Source organism: Homo sapiens, chromosome 11 (genome assembly GCF_000001405.40).
Source record: "Homo sapiens chromosome 11, GRCh38.p14 Primary Assembly".
Lineage (NCBI taxonomy): Eukaryota > Metazoa > Chordata > Mammalia > Primates > Hominidae > Homo > Homo sapiens.
Window position 1 is genome coordinate 19,827,918 of NC_000011.10, and position 17,052 is coordinate 19,844,969.

At 42.6% G+C, this 17,052-nt stretch overlaps 1 protein-coding gene across 46 annotated transcripts in view; it reads left to right on the plus strand.

Moving 5' to 3' along the window:
* Positions 1-17,052, plus strand: part of NAV2 (neuron navigator 2) — a 776,366-nt gene that overhangs the window by 482,682 nt on the left and 276,632 nt on the right. For all 46 annotated transcript variants that reach the window (XM_017018520.3, XM_047427824.1, XM_017018522.2 and 43 more), the window contains 2 exons: positions 4,567-4,684; positions 14,954-15,006. In XM_017018520.3, coding sequence (XP_016874009.1) covers positions 4,567-4,684; positions 14,954-15,006 — 171 coding nt within the window. The remainder of the gene's footprint in view (positions 1-4,566; positions 4,685-14,953; positions 15,007-17,052) is intronic.

The following is a 17,052-nucleotide window of genomic DNA, read 5'->3' on the forward strand; positions in this document are numbered from 1 at the left end:
TTTCACAAGCCTAGGTAGTAGAGCGGAATCCCGTCTCTACCAAGGGGAGGAAGGGGAGGGTGGGGAGGGAATCAACAATGAGCTGGGCGTGATGGCACCATCTGTAGTCCCAGCTACTCGGGAGGCTGAAGCAGGATGATCATTTGAGTCAGGGAAGCTGGCTGAGTTCGAAGCTGCAGTGAGCTTTGATTACCCCACTGCACCCCAGCCTGGGAGACAGAGTGAGACCTTGACTCTTAAAAACAATTTTTTAAGGGGGGGATGGTATAAAATAGATATAAAATTTACCATTTTAACCATTTTTCACATATACAATTTAGTGGCATTATGTACATTCATGTAACAAATGGTATATAACCATCACCATTATTTATCTCCAGAACTTTTTCAACATCCCAAACCAAAACTCTGTACCCATAAAACTTCCCTTTCCTCCCTCTGCCCAGACCCTTTTAACCCCTATTCTACTTCGTCTCTATGAATTTGATTCTTGTAGGTACCTCTGTAAGTGGAAACATGCAATATTGTCCTTTTGTATCTGGCTTATTTCACTTAGAATTACGTTTTCAAGGTTCATTCATGTTGTAACATGTTTCAGAATTTCATTCCTTTTTCAGGCTGGAGTGCAATGATGCATGACGGCTCACTGCAGCCTTGACCTACAGGGCTCAGGTGATCCCCCCACGTCAGCCTCCTCAGTAGCTGTGACTATGGGCACGTGCCATCACACCCGGCTAATTTTTTGTGTTTTTTGTAGGGAGGGGGTTTCACCACATTGCCCAGGATGGTCTTGAACTCCTGGGCTCAAGTTTGCCTTTAATTCAGTGGGAAGTGGGGAGCCATTGATGATTTTTTGAACGGGTAATTAGATTAGAGCTGCGCCCTAGGAAAGTTCGTTTGGCATTGGTGTGTAGGTAAATCAAAGTTGAGAGAAGAGCTCTTGTTTCAGAATGAGAAGTTCACTTTGGCAGAGCCGTTTCCAACCACTCTATCCTGTAGAAGTTCTTGTGAGTGTACCTGATACTTGTGTGGCCTCACCGTGGCTCTATAATCGCAGTGTGTGTGTATGTGCACTTGTTGAAATAAGTTTAACCTTGGCTTCTTGCTGTGTTGTGCAAACTCACAAAGAAACCTAGTTGTAGAGACAGTATGTCTATTTTAAAGAACCTTAATCATCTAAGAAGGGATGAGCTGAGGCACAGCATCTCATCCCACTCAGCTGTGCCCTTGTTGATGTTCACTTCTCACTCAGCTGATGTTTTAGGTGCACGTGGCTTTAAACTGTAAACTTCATGGTCCCTCCCACGTGGCTGAGGAAATCCCTCCAGGGTTTGAGAGAGCAGTGTGGTGCATCCCCTAGTTAGGGAAGGAAGCCTTGCTTTATATACCAGCCTGGCCGGTTTCTGACTTGTTTTTCTTTGACACTGTGCCATACTTTGTTATTCCAGGTAGGGGATATTCCAGACTCTTGAAATTTGGCTGTGAGAAGGGGAAGAAATCCTTGAGTCATTTGTATCCTGGAGATTCAGGGTGGAGGCTGTGGCCGATTTTGTTATGTCCATTTCACGAAGCTGTTAATAAAATTTTTTATTACTAACTTTTATTTACTGAACACTTAGCATGTGCCAGATTCTGTGACCTTTGTATGTATGAGCTCATTTCATCTTCATAATACCAATGATGTAGGTATCATTATCTTGCAAATGACAACACTTAGGCCAGAGGGCACAGAGGGAATTGATAGCATAGAAGCTAAGATTAAAGCAACTCTGTCAGTTCCAGAGCACGCCTCTTTATTACCCTTCTCCCCAATTGCCTTCACTTCCTGAGCCCCAGCATGGATCAGGACAGGCACTTCCATATAGTCCCACTCTGAGTCTTCACATCGACCTTCTGAAGCAGGCCTTATTGTACTCATTTTACAGGTGAGTAAACTGAAGCCCAGAAAAGTAGAGTCACTTATCCAAAGGCATTCAGATAGCAAGGGAAAGATCTAGGTTTGGGTTTTGATTACTTTTAAAATCTGGGACCGGGTGCGGTGGCTCACGCCTGTAATCCTAGCACTTTGGGAGGCTGAGGTGGGCAGATCACAAGGCCAGGAATTAGAGACCAGCCTGGCCAACATGGTGAAGCCTCATCTCTACTAAAAATACAAAAATTAGCCAAGCGTGGTGGCATGCACCTGTAATCCCAGCTACTTGGGAGGCTGAAGCAGGAGAATTTCTTGAACCCGGGAGGCGGAGGTTGCAGTGAGCCGAGATCACGCCACTGCACTCCAGGCTGGGTGACAGAACGAGACTCTGTCTTGGGAAAAAATAAATAAAAATAAAATAAGATAAATTCTTTCACTGAGAACATAATAGAGGCATGAACCTAGAGTCAGTAGGAGGATGCCACGGAAGGGATGAATAACTCGATTAACATTCACATTTGTATTCAGAGAGGCATTGCAGGATGTCAAAGGGATTGTAAAATAGGTTAGTCTGGGCTCAAATCCTGGCTCTGCCACTTATTTGTGACCTTGGACAGGTTACTTTACCTTTCTGCTCTTCAGTTTTCTCCTCTGAAAAGTGGACACAATAATAACCTCTGCCACATAGAATGAAGATTGAATGAGTTAACGTGTGTAAAATGTTTATGTCAGTGCCTGGCATGTAGTAGGCACTGTATGTTAGTTGGATTTATTAAGCTCCTTCTCTGCATAAGGCACTCTTTCAAAAGTGCTCTTGTAGGTACTTGGCATACGTCATTAAACAAAACATACCCAAATCCCTACTCTTGTGGAGCCTACAGAACCGGGACCTGAACCCATGTCTGCTTCTTTTCCTTTTAATGTTTATTTTCCTTCCTCTCTCCCTCTTAATAATTTTCTTTAATGATCTTTTAAATTTCAAGTTGGCTATTGTCATTACAAAGGTGATGGGGTCTACTTCCTGAGCCTTCTTTGTGCTTATAAAATTGAAAATACTCTTGCTTTACTGGATCGTTGGTCTCTGACAACTGGAGAGTCACGGGGAAGGAGACTAGCATGGATTTAAGGATTGGATCCTTGGGCTGTGTTGTGAAATAGAAGGTCACTGTGGGTGCACCTTTGCAGTGGAAGACAGAGCTTCTAGGTGGGTGGGTGGTGGACAGGTGCTACAGCTCTCATCTCTTCAGGAACCAGAAGATGCAGCTCCACCTCATCACTTCCTGGTATGAGGCCCTCATGGTCCCCAGGTGGAGTAGCCAGAGATGCTACCTCCTTAGAAGGTCTCTGCTTGGCAAACCTGACCCCGGCTCCTGTTCCCATTCCAGGAGTGTTGCGGGGGGGGGGGGGGCGCGATGGGGAGTGGGGGGGGATGACCATTGTGTGGGATTACACTGGGAAAGGCATTTGGAAGAACAGGATGGAGGGTGAGGATGAGACCATATGCTGCTCTGGGAGTCACATGGATCCTCGGAGCAGGCCTACTGGTTGAGGTAGAATGATCACCTTCATCATTTTGGTGGAGACATCATGGGATTAGTACTTGAGCCTGTTGTCACTAACCAGTTGAGGCAGGACATTCTCCTTTTGACCAATCATTTGTTCCTATCCATTTGAAAAAAAGAGGTGCTGATACCCTAAGGCCTACATGTTCACATATACACTCTTCTGCAAACTCACAAGTCCATGCATGGAACTTGGCACTCAAAATCAGAAGGTTTTTTGTTTTGTTTTTGGCTTTGATGGCTGGGGAGAAAATTTTCAGGCAAGAGTTTTCTTGTGCTTGTTGGCCTGTTTCGAAAGAAAATATTCTTCTTTCCTGACCATTCTGTGACCAGGAAGAGCAGGTCAGATATGTTCCCCAAGGGGGTCTGTTCTCCTGATTCCATGGGTCAGCCAGTCTTTGCCTTCTAAAATGCTGCACACAACAGTGTTGTGTTTAAATATGTTGGAATTTGCTTGGTTTTGTTCACAGAATCCCAACAGTGAAAATGATGCCTGGCTTTTAAATTAAACCGATTAAATTTGAGATTATTGTGAGGCCATAAATAACTTCACTCACACAAGAGTAATTGAAGGGGCTCTGTTTTCATACTTGGCTTCTTTTCAAGGGACCCAGGCTCCTGAGAACTCAGAATAGCTCAATAGCCCTCCTTACCCTGAAATGGCCCATTAAGAGATGCCTGTTGGGTGGTAACCTCCCCATACGTTTTCTCAATAAAGAGAAAAAGATGGGAAGGGGTGGGGGAGACTTTGCTTGCATCTAGAGTCGCAGCCTCTCAAAGCTGCAGCCTCTCAAAGCCGTCTGGAGCAGACTGTTTAGTTCTGTGTCCCCTGTCTCATTCAGCCCTCTGCATGTTTTGAAGCTTTCTTTAGTTTTTCCCTGAATCTTGACGGCAGTCCTCTCAATAGGCTAAGGCCCAGCTATGGTTAGCTGAATGCGTGATCAGCACAATGCACTGAATTTTAATGGTGCTGGCTGGCCCTGAAAGCTCACCAATGGGACAGTGGCCACTGTGCCGGCCCGAGCAGCTGCCTCAGACTCTGAGAGGGGATCCGACTGGCTTCCTAAAGTTGCCTGTTTGCTTTTTTTACAGATCTACACAGACTGGGCCAATCATTACCTAGCCAAATCCGGCCACAAGCGTCTCATCAGGGATCTCCAGCAAGATGTGACAGATGGCGTCCTCCTGGCCCAGATTATCCAGGTTGTGGGTAAGAGCAGATTTTACCTTGGGGGTAATGAGTTACAGTGGAGCCATCTCAAAAGGCCGGGGTGAGGGGAACAGAGCACTGAAATCTCTCAGAAGGCAGCTTTCTGTCTCATGTCTTGACAATTTATTTGATTTGTGTTTTGACTAAGTTGTGTGAGTACCAGCTTGATTTTATGCTTTTCCTGTTAAGGTCACATACACAGAAATATCATCTTGATTCTCTTAGAAGAAAGGCTGGCCAAGGCCAGAGGGAAATGCTGGTGGTTTGGGGAAGATGTGTTCTGCACCACTTCTTGCCTCCCATTATCTTTCTGGCTCTCTCATTTCCCCCTTTGGATGGTACTTTTGTGGATTACTCTGGAAATATTTCCAAAAAAAAAGTAACGTGGGGCTGGTTTAATCCTGCCAACTCTACTTGGGTCTGACAAATCAAAGGCTAAGACTCCAGAGAGGATTAGATGGTCCGGGTTAATACTAGGGGAAGGGAACTTGAGCAGTGGAATTTGTCATGCCTTGACCATGTGCTGGGAGGAGAGAGTTCCTCCAGTGAAGGCACGTGGGTGGATACTGGCCACAGCTTTGCCTTGGGCCTTAAGGTAACCACCCCATGGGCCTGACTGAGAGCCCAGAGCAGACAGAGGAGGCTTACAGGTCAATTGGACAGCATTAGCCTGATTATTGTTACTGGTAGCCTTGGCCAAGGGAGAAGGTGCAAGGAGAGGACAGGGCCCAGCCTCTCTGGCATGTTGTTGTGGAAAAGTTGCTTACCCTTCAAGTGTGAGAAGTAGTCTTTCATAGTTGGAGCTCTGCTCAAATCCGTGGAGTACGTACCTGAAAACACAGAAGGTTGGCCTTAGCTGAAACTGTTGGACTACTGCTGCCATTCAAAGAGAAAGGAGTTTGTTTTCCCTGTTGTCTTGTGATTGATTTCTTAGACTACCTGCCATTGATTCTCCTCTTCTCCTTTTTCCTCCTCTCCCTGTATTAGTTTTCTGTTGCTGTATAACAAATTATCACAAACTTAGCCACTTAAAACAACATGTCTTTATTATCTCACAGCTTTTGTGCATCAGAAGTCTAGGCATAGCTTAGCTGGGTGCCTCTGCAAGGCTTCAGTCAAGCTGTTGCCCAGGGTTGCATTCTCATCTGGAGGCTTAACTGGGGAAGGGTTTGCTTCTATGTTCACTCAGTTTGTTGGCTGAACTAATTTTCTTGCTGTTATAAGACTGTGGGCCCTGGCTTCTTGGTGGCTGTCAGCTGGAGGCCACCATCACCTCCTAGAAGCTGCTCTCAGCTCCTTGCCACATGGGCCTCCCAATATCTGCCTGCTTCCTCAATGCCAGCATGGGAGAAAGCTTCTGGAACAAGTCTGCTAACAAGGTAGAATCTTACCTAACTTAACATAATCATGGGAATGGCATCTTACCAGCTTTGCAATAGTCTATTGGTTAGAAGCAAGTCACAGGTCCCTACACTCAAAGGGGACAGGATGATACAAGGGCATGAATACCAAAGTGCAGGCATCATTAGGGGTCGCTGTAAAGTCTGTCTGCCACATTCCTTTTTCCAATTCTTCCTCTTCCTCTTACTCTTCATCATTATTGTCCAAAGCTCTTTTAAACTATCTCTCATTTTCTCAAAACCCTTTTGAAGTAGGTGGTATTCTCTCCATTTTACAGATGCAGAAATTGAGGCCCGGTGAAGCTTAGTAGTCCAATGTCACCTGACTAGTCTCCATGGGAATTCTAACCCAGGCAGTCTGCTTCTAAAGCTTCTGTTCTTTGCTCTGCTGTATTATATTACTTTTTACTCCAGAGATGCTTAACTTAGTGCGGGGCCTTGTCCTCCTTCACTTTAGTAACCACTTATTGAGCACCAATGTGTTCCAGTTCTGTACTCCTTGCTAAGAATAAATAACAAATGTGGAAGGCTGAGACCTCAGAAGAAGGGGTACCTTTTTTTTTTTTCTTTGGTAGGATGGTCATGGAAATACCACTTGCATCTGAGCTGGGTTTTGAAGCCCACATCAGCAGAATCACATTATGCATGTGGGCCTACTTTGACTGAGTTTTGCAGCTGTGCAGAGTGTTTCTACCTGAAAACTTCCCAGGTTTTAGCACAGGCAGCAAGAGAGGGAATATAAAAAGGATCATACTGAGAGGTCTTATATTCATTCCAGCTCCATCCCTCCTGACTGTGGGATCAGCTGTGCTGCCTGTTTCTCCATCTTTAAAATGAGGATATTCATGCTTGTTTTATCTGATCTTACAGCAGTCTTATGAAATTCAAGTTAGGTATCAAATATGACATAAGTTTGAAATCTATGGCATGTTCCAGATAGCACTTGGCAGCAGCTACCTAGAAAGGTATGTATGGAAGGATGATGAGGTCTCAATATCTGTGTCAGTATGTTGTGATAGATTAGTCATGTCTGCCTTGGGCTCAGAAGAGGCAAATGGGAGTATGTATGTTGTGCATTTTCTAAACATAGTGCTATGAAAATGTAAGTTAGCAGTTTTATCATTGCTCAGGATGATGCTTCCCTGAATCTATTCAGATGAGATGAACTTCCCTAGACAGTGGCATCTTTAGGCCTAGGGTACTGGTCTGCAGTTCCAGAGACCCAAGTTAGCACCAGTTGTCCAGGCCACACCTGAGGCCACTAAATTGCTTCCCTAAACCCTCCACCCTCCAACACAGGATCGCTTTGTCCAGAGACTCCTCAATAAGGCTGGATATCAGCATGTGACTCTCTCGCCAGACTGGCTGTGCTGGGGCTTGGAAACTCTGCTCTGTATGTAGAGAACAGGCTAAAAGGAGTGAGAAGACAGCAGTTGTAGGCATCTCCTGTGTGACTTCTTTCCTCAGTTGTCTATCAGCCAGCTCAGAGCATTTACTCTTAGATTGTCTTATGAACACAGGTCTCTTGGTGAGAGGGGGGAGAAGCATCTTCTGACTAGGATGCTGAACTATTGGCCATTTGAACACTTTGCTTTTCAAGTCCATGCTTTCCGCCATACATGCCCATTAAAAGAAAATGTAAAAATATATTTGTATGTGTACACATATTTAATATACACATATGTATGTATATATAGATATCCATATATCTATATATACATACATAAAATTTTCTACATAAAATTTTATATATATCTACATAAAATTTTCTACATAAAATTTTATATATATCTACATAAAATTTTCCCAGAATTGGAATCTTACTGACTTCATCTTATACTGGACAGAATTCTAGTGGCTATACTTGTTCTTTGACTGGCAAGCTCCTACTTATTCTTGAAAAGTGAGTTTCTCTTTGAGACCTTTCCTAGCTCCCCGACACAGAACCAGAGGGACCTCCCTCTATCATCCCACCAGCTGCTGTCTTGGGCCTGGGTCTTAGTTGTCTTCCTTTCTGGGTTCCCAACATTTAGCATGGTGCCTTGCATGCAGTGATGTTCAGGAAAAGTTGAGAGGATTAGGGATAAGAATTTTATTCACTACCAGCCTGGGTTGGATTGTTTCCAATAGGTGGCCCGAATGTTTCCCCTTCTCAACATTTAGTACTCCACTAAACATTCCTCTAAATTGTATGTCACACCTTTCTACTTTCTAGGGATCTACCACAGCTCTCAACTGTCAGGTTTGGAAAGGACCTTTAAAAGCTCCGATCTGGGCCAGGCGCGGTGGCTCACGCCTGTAATCCCAGCACTTTGGGAGGCCGAGGCGGGTGGATCATGAGGTCAGGAGATCGAGACCATCCTGGCTAACAAGGTGAAACCCCGTCTCTACTAAAAATACAAAAAATTAGCCGGGCGCGGTGGCGGGCGCCTGTAGTCCCAGCTGCTCGGGAGGCTGAGGCAGGAGAATGGCGTGAACCCGGGAAGCGGAGCTTGCAGTGAGCCGAGATTGCGCCACTGCAGTCCGCAGTCCGGCCTGGGCGACAGAGCGAGACTCTGTCTCAAAAAAAAAAAAAAAAAAGCTCCGATCTGATGAATGAATTGCTTCTATAAAAAGTAGTCAACAACCTCTATTAATTACTTCCTGTGATGGGCAGCTTACTACCTTTTCAGGCACTAGTTCTAATGGTGAAGAGTTGGAATCCTTCAAAAGCTCTTTTCTTAGATTCAGACTGCTATAACAAAATACCAGACTGAGTGGCATATAAACAAAAGACATTTATTTCTTATGATTCTGGAGGCTGGAAGTCAAAGATCAAGGTGCTGGCAGATTCTATGTCTTGGGAGGGCCCACTTCCTCATTTGCAGACAGCCATCTTTTCACCGTGTCCTTCCATGGTGGAAGGCGTGATCCAGCTCTCTTGGGCCTGTTTTATAAGGAAACTAATCCTGTTCATGAGATCTTTACCCTCATGACCTAATTATCTCCCAAAGGCCCCATCTCCAAACACCATTACATTAGGGATTAAACCTGAATATATGAATTTTGGGAGGACACAAACATTCAGACCACAGCAGCTCTTCTTTTATTAAGTCCTCCCCTTGGTAGTGTCATTCCCTGTAGGGCTACAAAGAATAATCCAATCTGGGGACAGTGTGAACATCAAAATCAATTGAGGACAACAGTGGATTATAGCCACTAAATAGAATAGGAATCCACAAGCCTATAATAATAAATAGATACATTTAAAAATAGATATATCAATGGAGGAGAAGAGAGGGCTGGACTCTACAGGAGAACGCTGACTGATAGAGGGAGTTGCAGCCTTCTGGTGAATGGGAGTTAAGGCAAGAATCATCAACGGATGCTGAAATCTAGAGGGGGAAATTTGAGGAGGAGCAGGATTTTCGCATAGTCTCAAAATATCTCTCTATTGATTGCTTATTAGCTGCAAGGGGAAACAAAGTAAGCACTAATTGGAGTATCCAGATCACATCATGACTAGGTGATCAAAATTACATCACTGGTGAGGGACAGATGGACGTCATGTGCTTCCTGAGGTGATACCCTGAGAAGAACACAACATCAGTTATGCTATATGCCAGTCAGGGATGGAAAACCTGAAACTAATCATAAGGAATCTCAGACAAACCCAAATTGTGGAACATTCTATTAAAAAAAAAAACTGGGCTACATTGTTCAAAAATGTGAATGCTGTGGAAGACAAAGGCTGAGAAACTGTTCCAGGATGAAGGAGACTAAAGAGATGTGACAGCTAAATGTACTACGTGATCCTGAACTGCATCCTGTGCAGAGCAATCACATGGTCTAAAGGACATTTTTTACTCAATTGGCAAAACTGGAATGTTGGAATTAAATCAGTGTTAAATTGCCAGAATTTATAGCTGCACTATGGAAGACAATATACTAGTTCTTTGGAAATAAACACTAAGCATAAGAAGCAAAGGGCATAATCTATGTGGCTTACTCTGAAATGGCTCAGAAGAAAGATGATATGTGTGCCTTACAGATAAAGGAGGGGAGGAGAGGGAGAAAGGAAAGGAGAATGGATGATGTATGGGGGAATTCTCTATACTATTCCTGTGACTTTTCTGTAAGTTTGAAGTTGTATCAAAATGAAAAGTTAAAAAGAAAACATATCTAAATGAAGGCCTATCAAAATCTGTAGGCAGCACGATTGTGCCTTTTAAGGGACAGCCGCTTTCTAGGCCCAGGAGGAGTGTAGTGATGATGGCATGGTTGAGGACCCACTCCATCGTGGGTCAGGTGCTCAGACCCGACCTATGATGGAGTGGGGATGGTGGGAGGGTGTCAATCACAGAAAGGTTCCTCAAGGAACTTACCTATAAGCCAAGACTTCAGACTTTATTAAAGTGAGACAGGCAAAGCAGTCAGGGAGGGCATTCCCAGCAGAGAAAATAGTGTGTAGAGAGGAGAGGAGAGCCAGAGGGCCAGCAAGGCAAAGTCGGGCAGGGCCACCAGGTATAAGGCAATGAATTCTGGGCTTTAGCCTAAGAACAAGGGCCAGTGGTTGAAGAGTTGATTTTTCAGGCTGAGAAGTAACATCTGATGTGTAACTTCAAGGAAAAACTTAAATGGTTTTTGTTTTGTTTTATTTTGAGACAGGGTCTCACTCTGTCACCCAGGCTGGAGTGCAGTGTTACGATCTTGGCTCACTGAGGCCTCTGCCTCCCGGGTTCAAGCAATTCTCCCACCTCAGCCTCCCGAGTAGCTGCGATTGTAGGCATACACCACCATGCCCAGCTAATTTTTGTATTTTTAGTAGAGACAGGGTTTTGCCATATTGGCTAGGCTGGTCTGGAACTCCTGGCCTCAAGTGATCTGCCCACCTCGGCCTCCCAAAGTGCTGGGATTATAGGTGTGAGCCACATGCCTGGCCTTAAATGCTTTTCACATGCGCTGTTCTTAAGTCTTCATCTATCCCAGACACCCCTGGAGCTGGGCTTCCTAGATAGTGGGATTGTTTGCGACTTTTCTGCCATCATCTTCTATAAGGCAGAAGAAAGTGGGCCTTTTGCTGCTGCTCTTTAGGAGCCTTCCTTTGGTGGCTAAGGTTGGATCTGTGTGTTCAACGTCTTGTTAGTGTGATTATCTTCTTGAGTCATGAGCTTCCCCAAGTTGGCTGTTGCCTGCCAGCCCATCACAGTGGCATCTCTGTGAATTATTAAGAAGGTTTAAGAGGCCAGGATAAACAGCATGAATCAAGAGAGAGACAGGCCTCCCTCCTTTGCTTACGTTGCTGTCACACAGGGAGGATGCCAGAAGAGGTTGGAGCAAGGAAAGCAGGGAGCGAGAGAGAAGGGGTGGGAGAAAAGGGGATAAGAGTTGAGAGAGGAAGGAAAAGATGAACAAAGGAGGACTGGAGAAAAAGGGAGCAAAGAGAGAGAGAGAATTTCTTCTTAGAAGTGGGAAGACCTGATAGCAGCTTCTTTTCCACCACCATTTGGGCTGCCTCTGAACACAACCAGGAAATTCAGACAACATGTAGGACTATCCCTTCTTTCTGTTGATGATCTACTACCATTATGTGACCCTGGGTAAGTCATTTACCTTTCTGGGGAGCCAGTTTTTGTCTCTTCCCATTGGCAGGGTTGTTAACTGCCAGGGATGATAAGTGCATAGATGCACAAGCTATGTTGAAATGTTCTGAATCCTTTAATGAAGTCTTTTGAAAAGTAATAAGCTTGATATCACTGTTCTTATTTTAAAAGTGCACTGATGCTTTCCAGTCACTAACTAGTCACCTTGCATGCAGGCAGGTTACTGCATTAGTGGGGCTAAGAAAGTCTTGAATACGCTGGGATAAATAAATTACCATTGGCACTTAAGGATGCCAGTTTTAATCACAGATGAGGACTTTGGGGATAAGTGCCTTTGTTTCTTTGATTATCTGCTTTTGGGATGCAGCCAAAGACCCCCTGCCCTGAGTTACTAAATTCAGCTTTGAAGACCAAGCTCTTCCTTCTTACCAGCAGAATCAGAGCTGCTATTAGCACTCTAATTATTTATGACAACCATAGGAATTCCTGGGAATTTAAGTAAAGGAGAAGTATTTCAAGTATATGAAACTGGAAACTAGGAGGCCCAAAACTCATTTTGTAATTTTATTAATTATTTATTTTGAGATTGGATTAGTCATTTGATTCATCTCTTCCCGTGTACTCTTTAGAGTGGTTATATTTAGGCTTTACCCCATCAGTTTATTTTGACTTTTGTAAAATGGAAGTATTAGGCTTGTAAGAGCCATGATATTTAAATTCAAAGAGCACCTGACTGGGTTTAGGTGACAGACCATGAAAAGGAATTAGATGAGAAATTAGACCAAGCCCTTTGGTTTCATTATTCAGGTGGCATATAAAGAATCTTTAAAGTGTCCCAAATGACTTATTAGGATCACAGTTATCCGTCTTTCACTGTAATGAGCACTAATGACCTAATGCTGAACTGGGTATTGATCAGAATCCAATGACTTATGACTTTGGCCATCATGAGTATCCATTTGGAAGACACCTTGACTGGCCTTGATTCTCAAAAGCTGCATATTTATTCTCTCCAATGTTGAGTGTCAAAATCCAAGGTCAGAGCTCATGCCTGCCATAATTTCCCAGGTATGGAAGAGTGCCATCTGTCAAGTGTTTGGTTTTTTTGGACTTTAGTATATACATCTGTATTATAAATGGAAGGATAGCTGCCTGAAAATAGGCAGCTATTCTTGATTCATCTCAATGTTCAAGAATCAAGATTTCTTGATTCATTGAGATATTCAGAAGACTTATTTCTTAGTTCCACTCAACAAGTATTTATTGTGTGGCTCCTGTGTGCCAGACACTGTGCTAAGCTCTGGGGTGACTGTAGAAAACAAAGCAGATAAGAATCTCTATTCTTATGAAGTTTACAAGCTAGCAATATATTCTGGCTCATTATATTTTCTAATAAACAGAAGAACAAACATCTATGAGTTATTCCATTCAGTGGGCATCTTGTTTGTGCTTTTCATGGCACCTCTTTTGGGAGCAAGGCTTTCTACAATGCCTATCCTAGTGTTCTTATATTAAGAGGAGTTGAGAAAATGCAATTAGATCTCTGAAGATTGGGATTTTCCCAGGTGGGTCATAAACCTTAACATCTATTACTTCTGGCAGGTTCTAAAAAAAAGGTGTAGATTAGACTGAATATATACTAACCAGTCTGTCTTATGGTAATTAGATTTTTAAACAATTTTCTGCCACTAGCTTGCTTCTTAATTTTCACTTGTCTCTCAAGATAGAAACAGAGAAAAAATGAATTCAATTTGAGATAATGATTCAGGTTTCTAAAATCTTGGAGGCTTGGGACACTTTGATTCTATTATCTTTTTCAGACAGTTTCCAATGGCTTTTCTCTTTTTGGAAGTTTTAGGTATCATATTTATTAAAATATGATATGATTTTATTTGGGGAATTCAATTTTGTGAGCAGTTATTGAGCTCAAAGGATACAGATGTGAAAGGTAAACTATACACGTCTGCTAGGCTCTCACAGCATATTTTGGGGAAACAAGAAAAGGAGGAATTATGTATTGGATGATTAAGAACAAAACAGAGGCAGGTACAGGGTGCTGTGAGGACAGAGGCCTGAGTGTATCTTTCCCTTCTGTGAGTGAGGACATGGGATTGCAGAGGGAGCATATAAAGGTTTCAAGAGGAAGCTAACCCTTAGTCCTTTACTGTGGAGCCCTAGCTGAGTTTCCAAACTGAGACGGAGATATCAAAAGGACAATTTTTATATACAATACGTATTATTGGGTTCATGATACTACCATTTAGAGAATACTTACTACGTGTTGGGCACCGTGCTAAGCATTTTACTGGCATCATCTAATTCTAATTGCTTCTCTTGTGAAGCAGGTAGTATTAACTGTGTTTTATAGATGAGGAAACTGTGACCCAAAGAGGTCGAGTGACATGCCTGATGTCACACGCTAAGAAGCTCTGCAGCTGGAATTCACGCTAACGTATCTTTGCCTCCAAAGTCAGTGTTCTAACCACTATGCTACGGCCTTTCTTGTGCTGCTGTATTCTCAAACACAGTCTCTCCATAGATATCTTGGACTGTGTTATGCCAGGGACTCCTCCATACTTACGATGAACTGCATTCACCCAGGGAAGCTGGGCCAGTCCTCCTTTGTATTAGTACTTGATTTCCTGTGAATGCAATGCAACCTCTTTCCATCACTTCTCTAAGTAGCTGGACACACATATGTGTGTCCCTTGATCTAATTTGGACTTACTGTGTGGCGTTGGTCAAGTCACATAGTGAGAAAGTGATGAAGTCTCACTTTCTCATTTTCCCCATTTGCCACTGCTTTGGGAATAGTTATTAGGACAAACAAAAGCAATATTAATCTGGCCAAAGATGGAGTGAGATGCTTTCATTTGTGGCTTTTTTCTCTGGGAGCTGAGTTGTAGCTGGACTGATCCACTCTGAACTATTCCGTCTTTTGTGACGGTTGTATTTGCCTTTCCAAGAGCCTAAAGCACAATCACAGCTAGCTCACTCTCTTTCCCAGTCTCCAAGCATTTCCACGATGCCCCTTCACTCCAAGACTGTCATCGATGCAGTTGTCTCTGTTTTAGATGACGACCTTGCCCCAGCTGTCCCTGGAGGACGGCAGCTCGATGAGTAAGTCCTGAAGCTTGCTAGATGTGTCTCAGTATTTCACATGCCTGCACTGATTGGACAAACCCTGGTATGGGCCTTAGGACTTGGTTGCCTCAAGTGTCCTGAACATCACTACTGAAAGTGTCTCTCTGGTGATTTATTTTTCTGACTTGTGTTTCCTTTTTCAGCAAATGAAAAGATTGAAGACATCAATGGCTGTCCGAAGAACAGATCCCAAATGGTAAGTGGTGCATAGGTAGTAAATGTTTGAGTTCTGTCAGCAAGCCCTGCCTCTAAGTGATATTGACCATCTTGAAAACATTCATACCAGATGCTTTACTCCAGGGGATTATATTAATAAACTCACAGCTATTTCCAAGTAGCTGTGTTCTGCTTTTCTGACATTTGTTGGCATTTATTGAAAAATGGCTATGATTTTTATGTAGATTGTGAGACAGTTAAAGTGAAATATTGTCCTTGTTCTTAGACACAAATTATGCAGAACTGGTACAAACATATACATGTTTAGTACTTGAACTGCTGTGGCTCGTTCTGCTTCCTCAAAGACCCACATCAATATGTGTTTGTGTATGGAGCTGAGGCACGGATGAAGTGATGGTATCTTACTAATCAGAAACTGGAGCATGTGGTCAGATTGCCTTTAAAGGTTGGAATGATGTGAAATCAGAACTGTGACAGGAAATGTGAAATGTGCAGTCACATCTGAAGCTTTTCAACATAACCTTTGCAAGTGATATTCTCTCTGGCATGATGCATTTAAGTTCTGATATTATAGCTTTATACATAACCCCCAAAACTAATCTTTTAAAAATCTGTTCTTTTTCTTATTGCATGTCCTGCACATAATCTTTGAATTAAAATTTATCGTCATTGTTGAGTTCAGAAAACATTGGCTTAGTTTTTCACTTCAAAACAAATTTCAAGCATGAATATTTACAAAAAAAAGTATATTTTCAGAGTCTGTTAAGATAACACTAATAACCTATTTAAAACATGAAGGTGGCAACTTAAGGACAACTATTTTTTGCTGGATGTTCATTTGCTTCCAGAAATCTAAAAAAAAAAAAAAAAAAGCTTAATTTGCTTCTGTAACCCCATCCTACCTCCTTTGAGTAGGCACAGTTTGATAGGTCTCATTTCAGAATAAACCAAAGTGATTGGCATTCCTTGGGCTTACTGTTTAGTTTTCTGAATTGTTATCCCAGTGACTTGGGCAAATAGGCAGCCATTTTAGTTGGCTTTTTTTAATGCACATTTTGAATATAAAGATGTCAGTGTATGTATGGAAGGGGAGTCATTTTCCAGTTTATATTCTGAAACAAGTTTTTGTTGTTGTTGTTCCACTGAAGGTTTTCTTTCTTTTTGATCCAAAGACCAACCACTTCTTACATAGGAAAGTCCCCAGGCTGACATCTCATGGCTGCTTTGACTTTTGGAAAAGCTGGGCTGCTATTTTTGCTGCAGCTACTGCAGCTGTCTAGGGTATTAATAATTGAGAAAATTTGGATGATAGAAGACTTAATTTTAGTGCAGGCATGCTGCACATGTAGTCCTATCTTCATATGAAACAGATGCATTATTTCCCTCCAGGATAGATACTGATGCAATTGCCCCAGGCCATTATAATGTGTGTGTAGAACTGGTATGTGGAAATTGTCAACCTTTTATTCTATTTGGTGCACCTCTATTCTAAGCACCTTCTATTGGAGGTTTTGCGTGTTGTTAGAGTCTACTTCCAAGCTTATACAGATTGAGTAGCCCTAATCTGAAATATCTGGGACCAGAAATGTTTTGGATTTTGGAATATTTACATTATACTTACAGCATCCCAAATCTGAAAATCCAAAGTGTTTCACTGAGCACTTCCCTTGAGCCTCATGTCATGCTCAAAAAGTTTTGGATTTTGGCATATTTTAGATTTTAGATTTTTAGATTTGAGATGTTCAACCTGTAATATTGTCATTTCAGATTCTTCTTTGCAAATTTATTTCCATATGCAAATAAGTTACTTATAAATACTACCATAGCACCAATGCAGTGTTGCAGTTTCTCTATAACTCTTTCAGCCATGCCAGTGCTATATTTTTTTGTTTTTGTTTTTGTGTGTGTGAACTGTGTGTTTTTTTTTTTTTTTAGAACACAAGAATATAAAATCCTATAATTGTCTGTGATAATTAGTTCCAGCTTAGGGGTAGGGAGGCAGACACAGTCTTGTGGTAAGCCTAGCAGAGAGTAGTTCAGCGTACAGGATGTGAGTCCAGGAAAA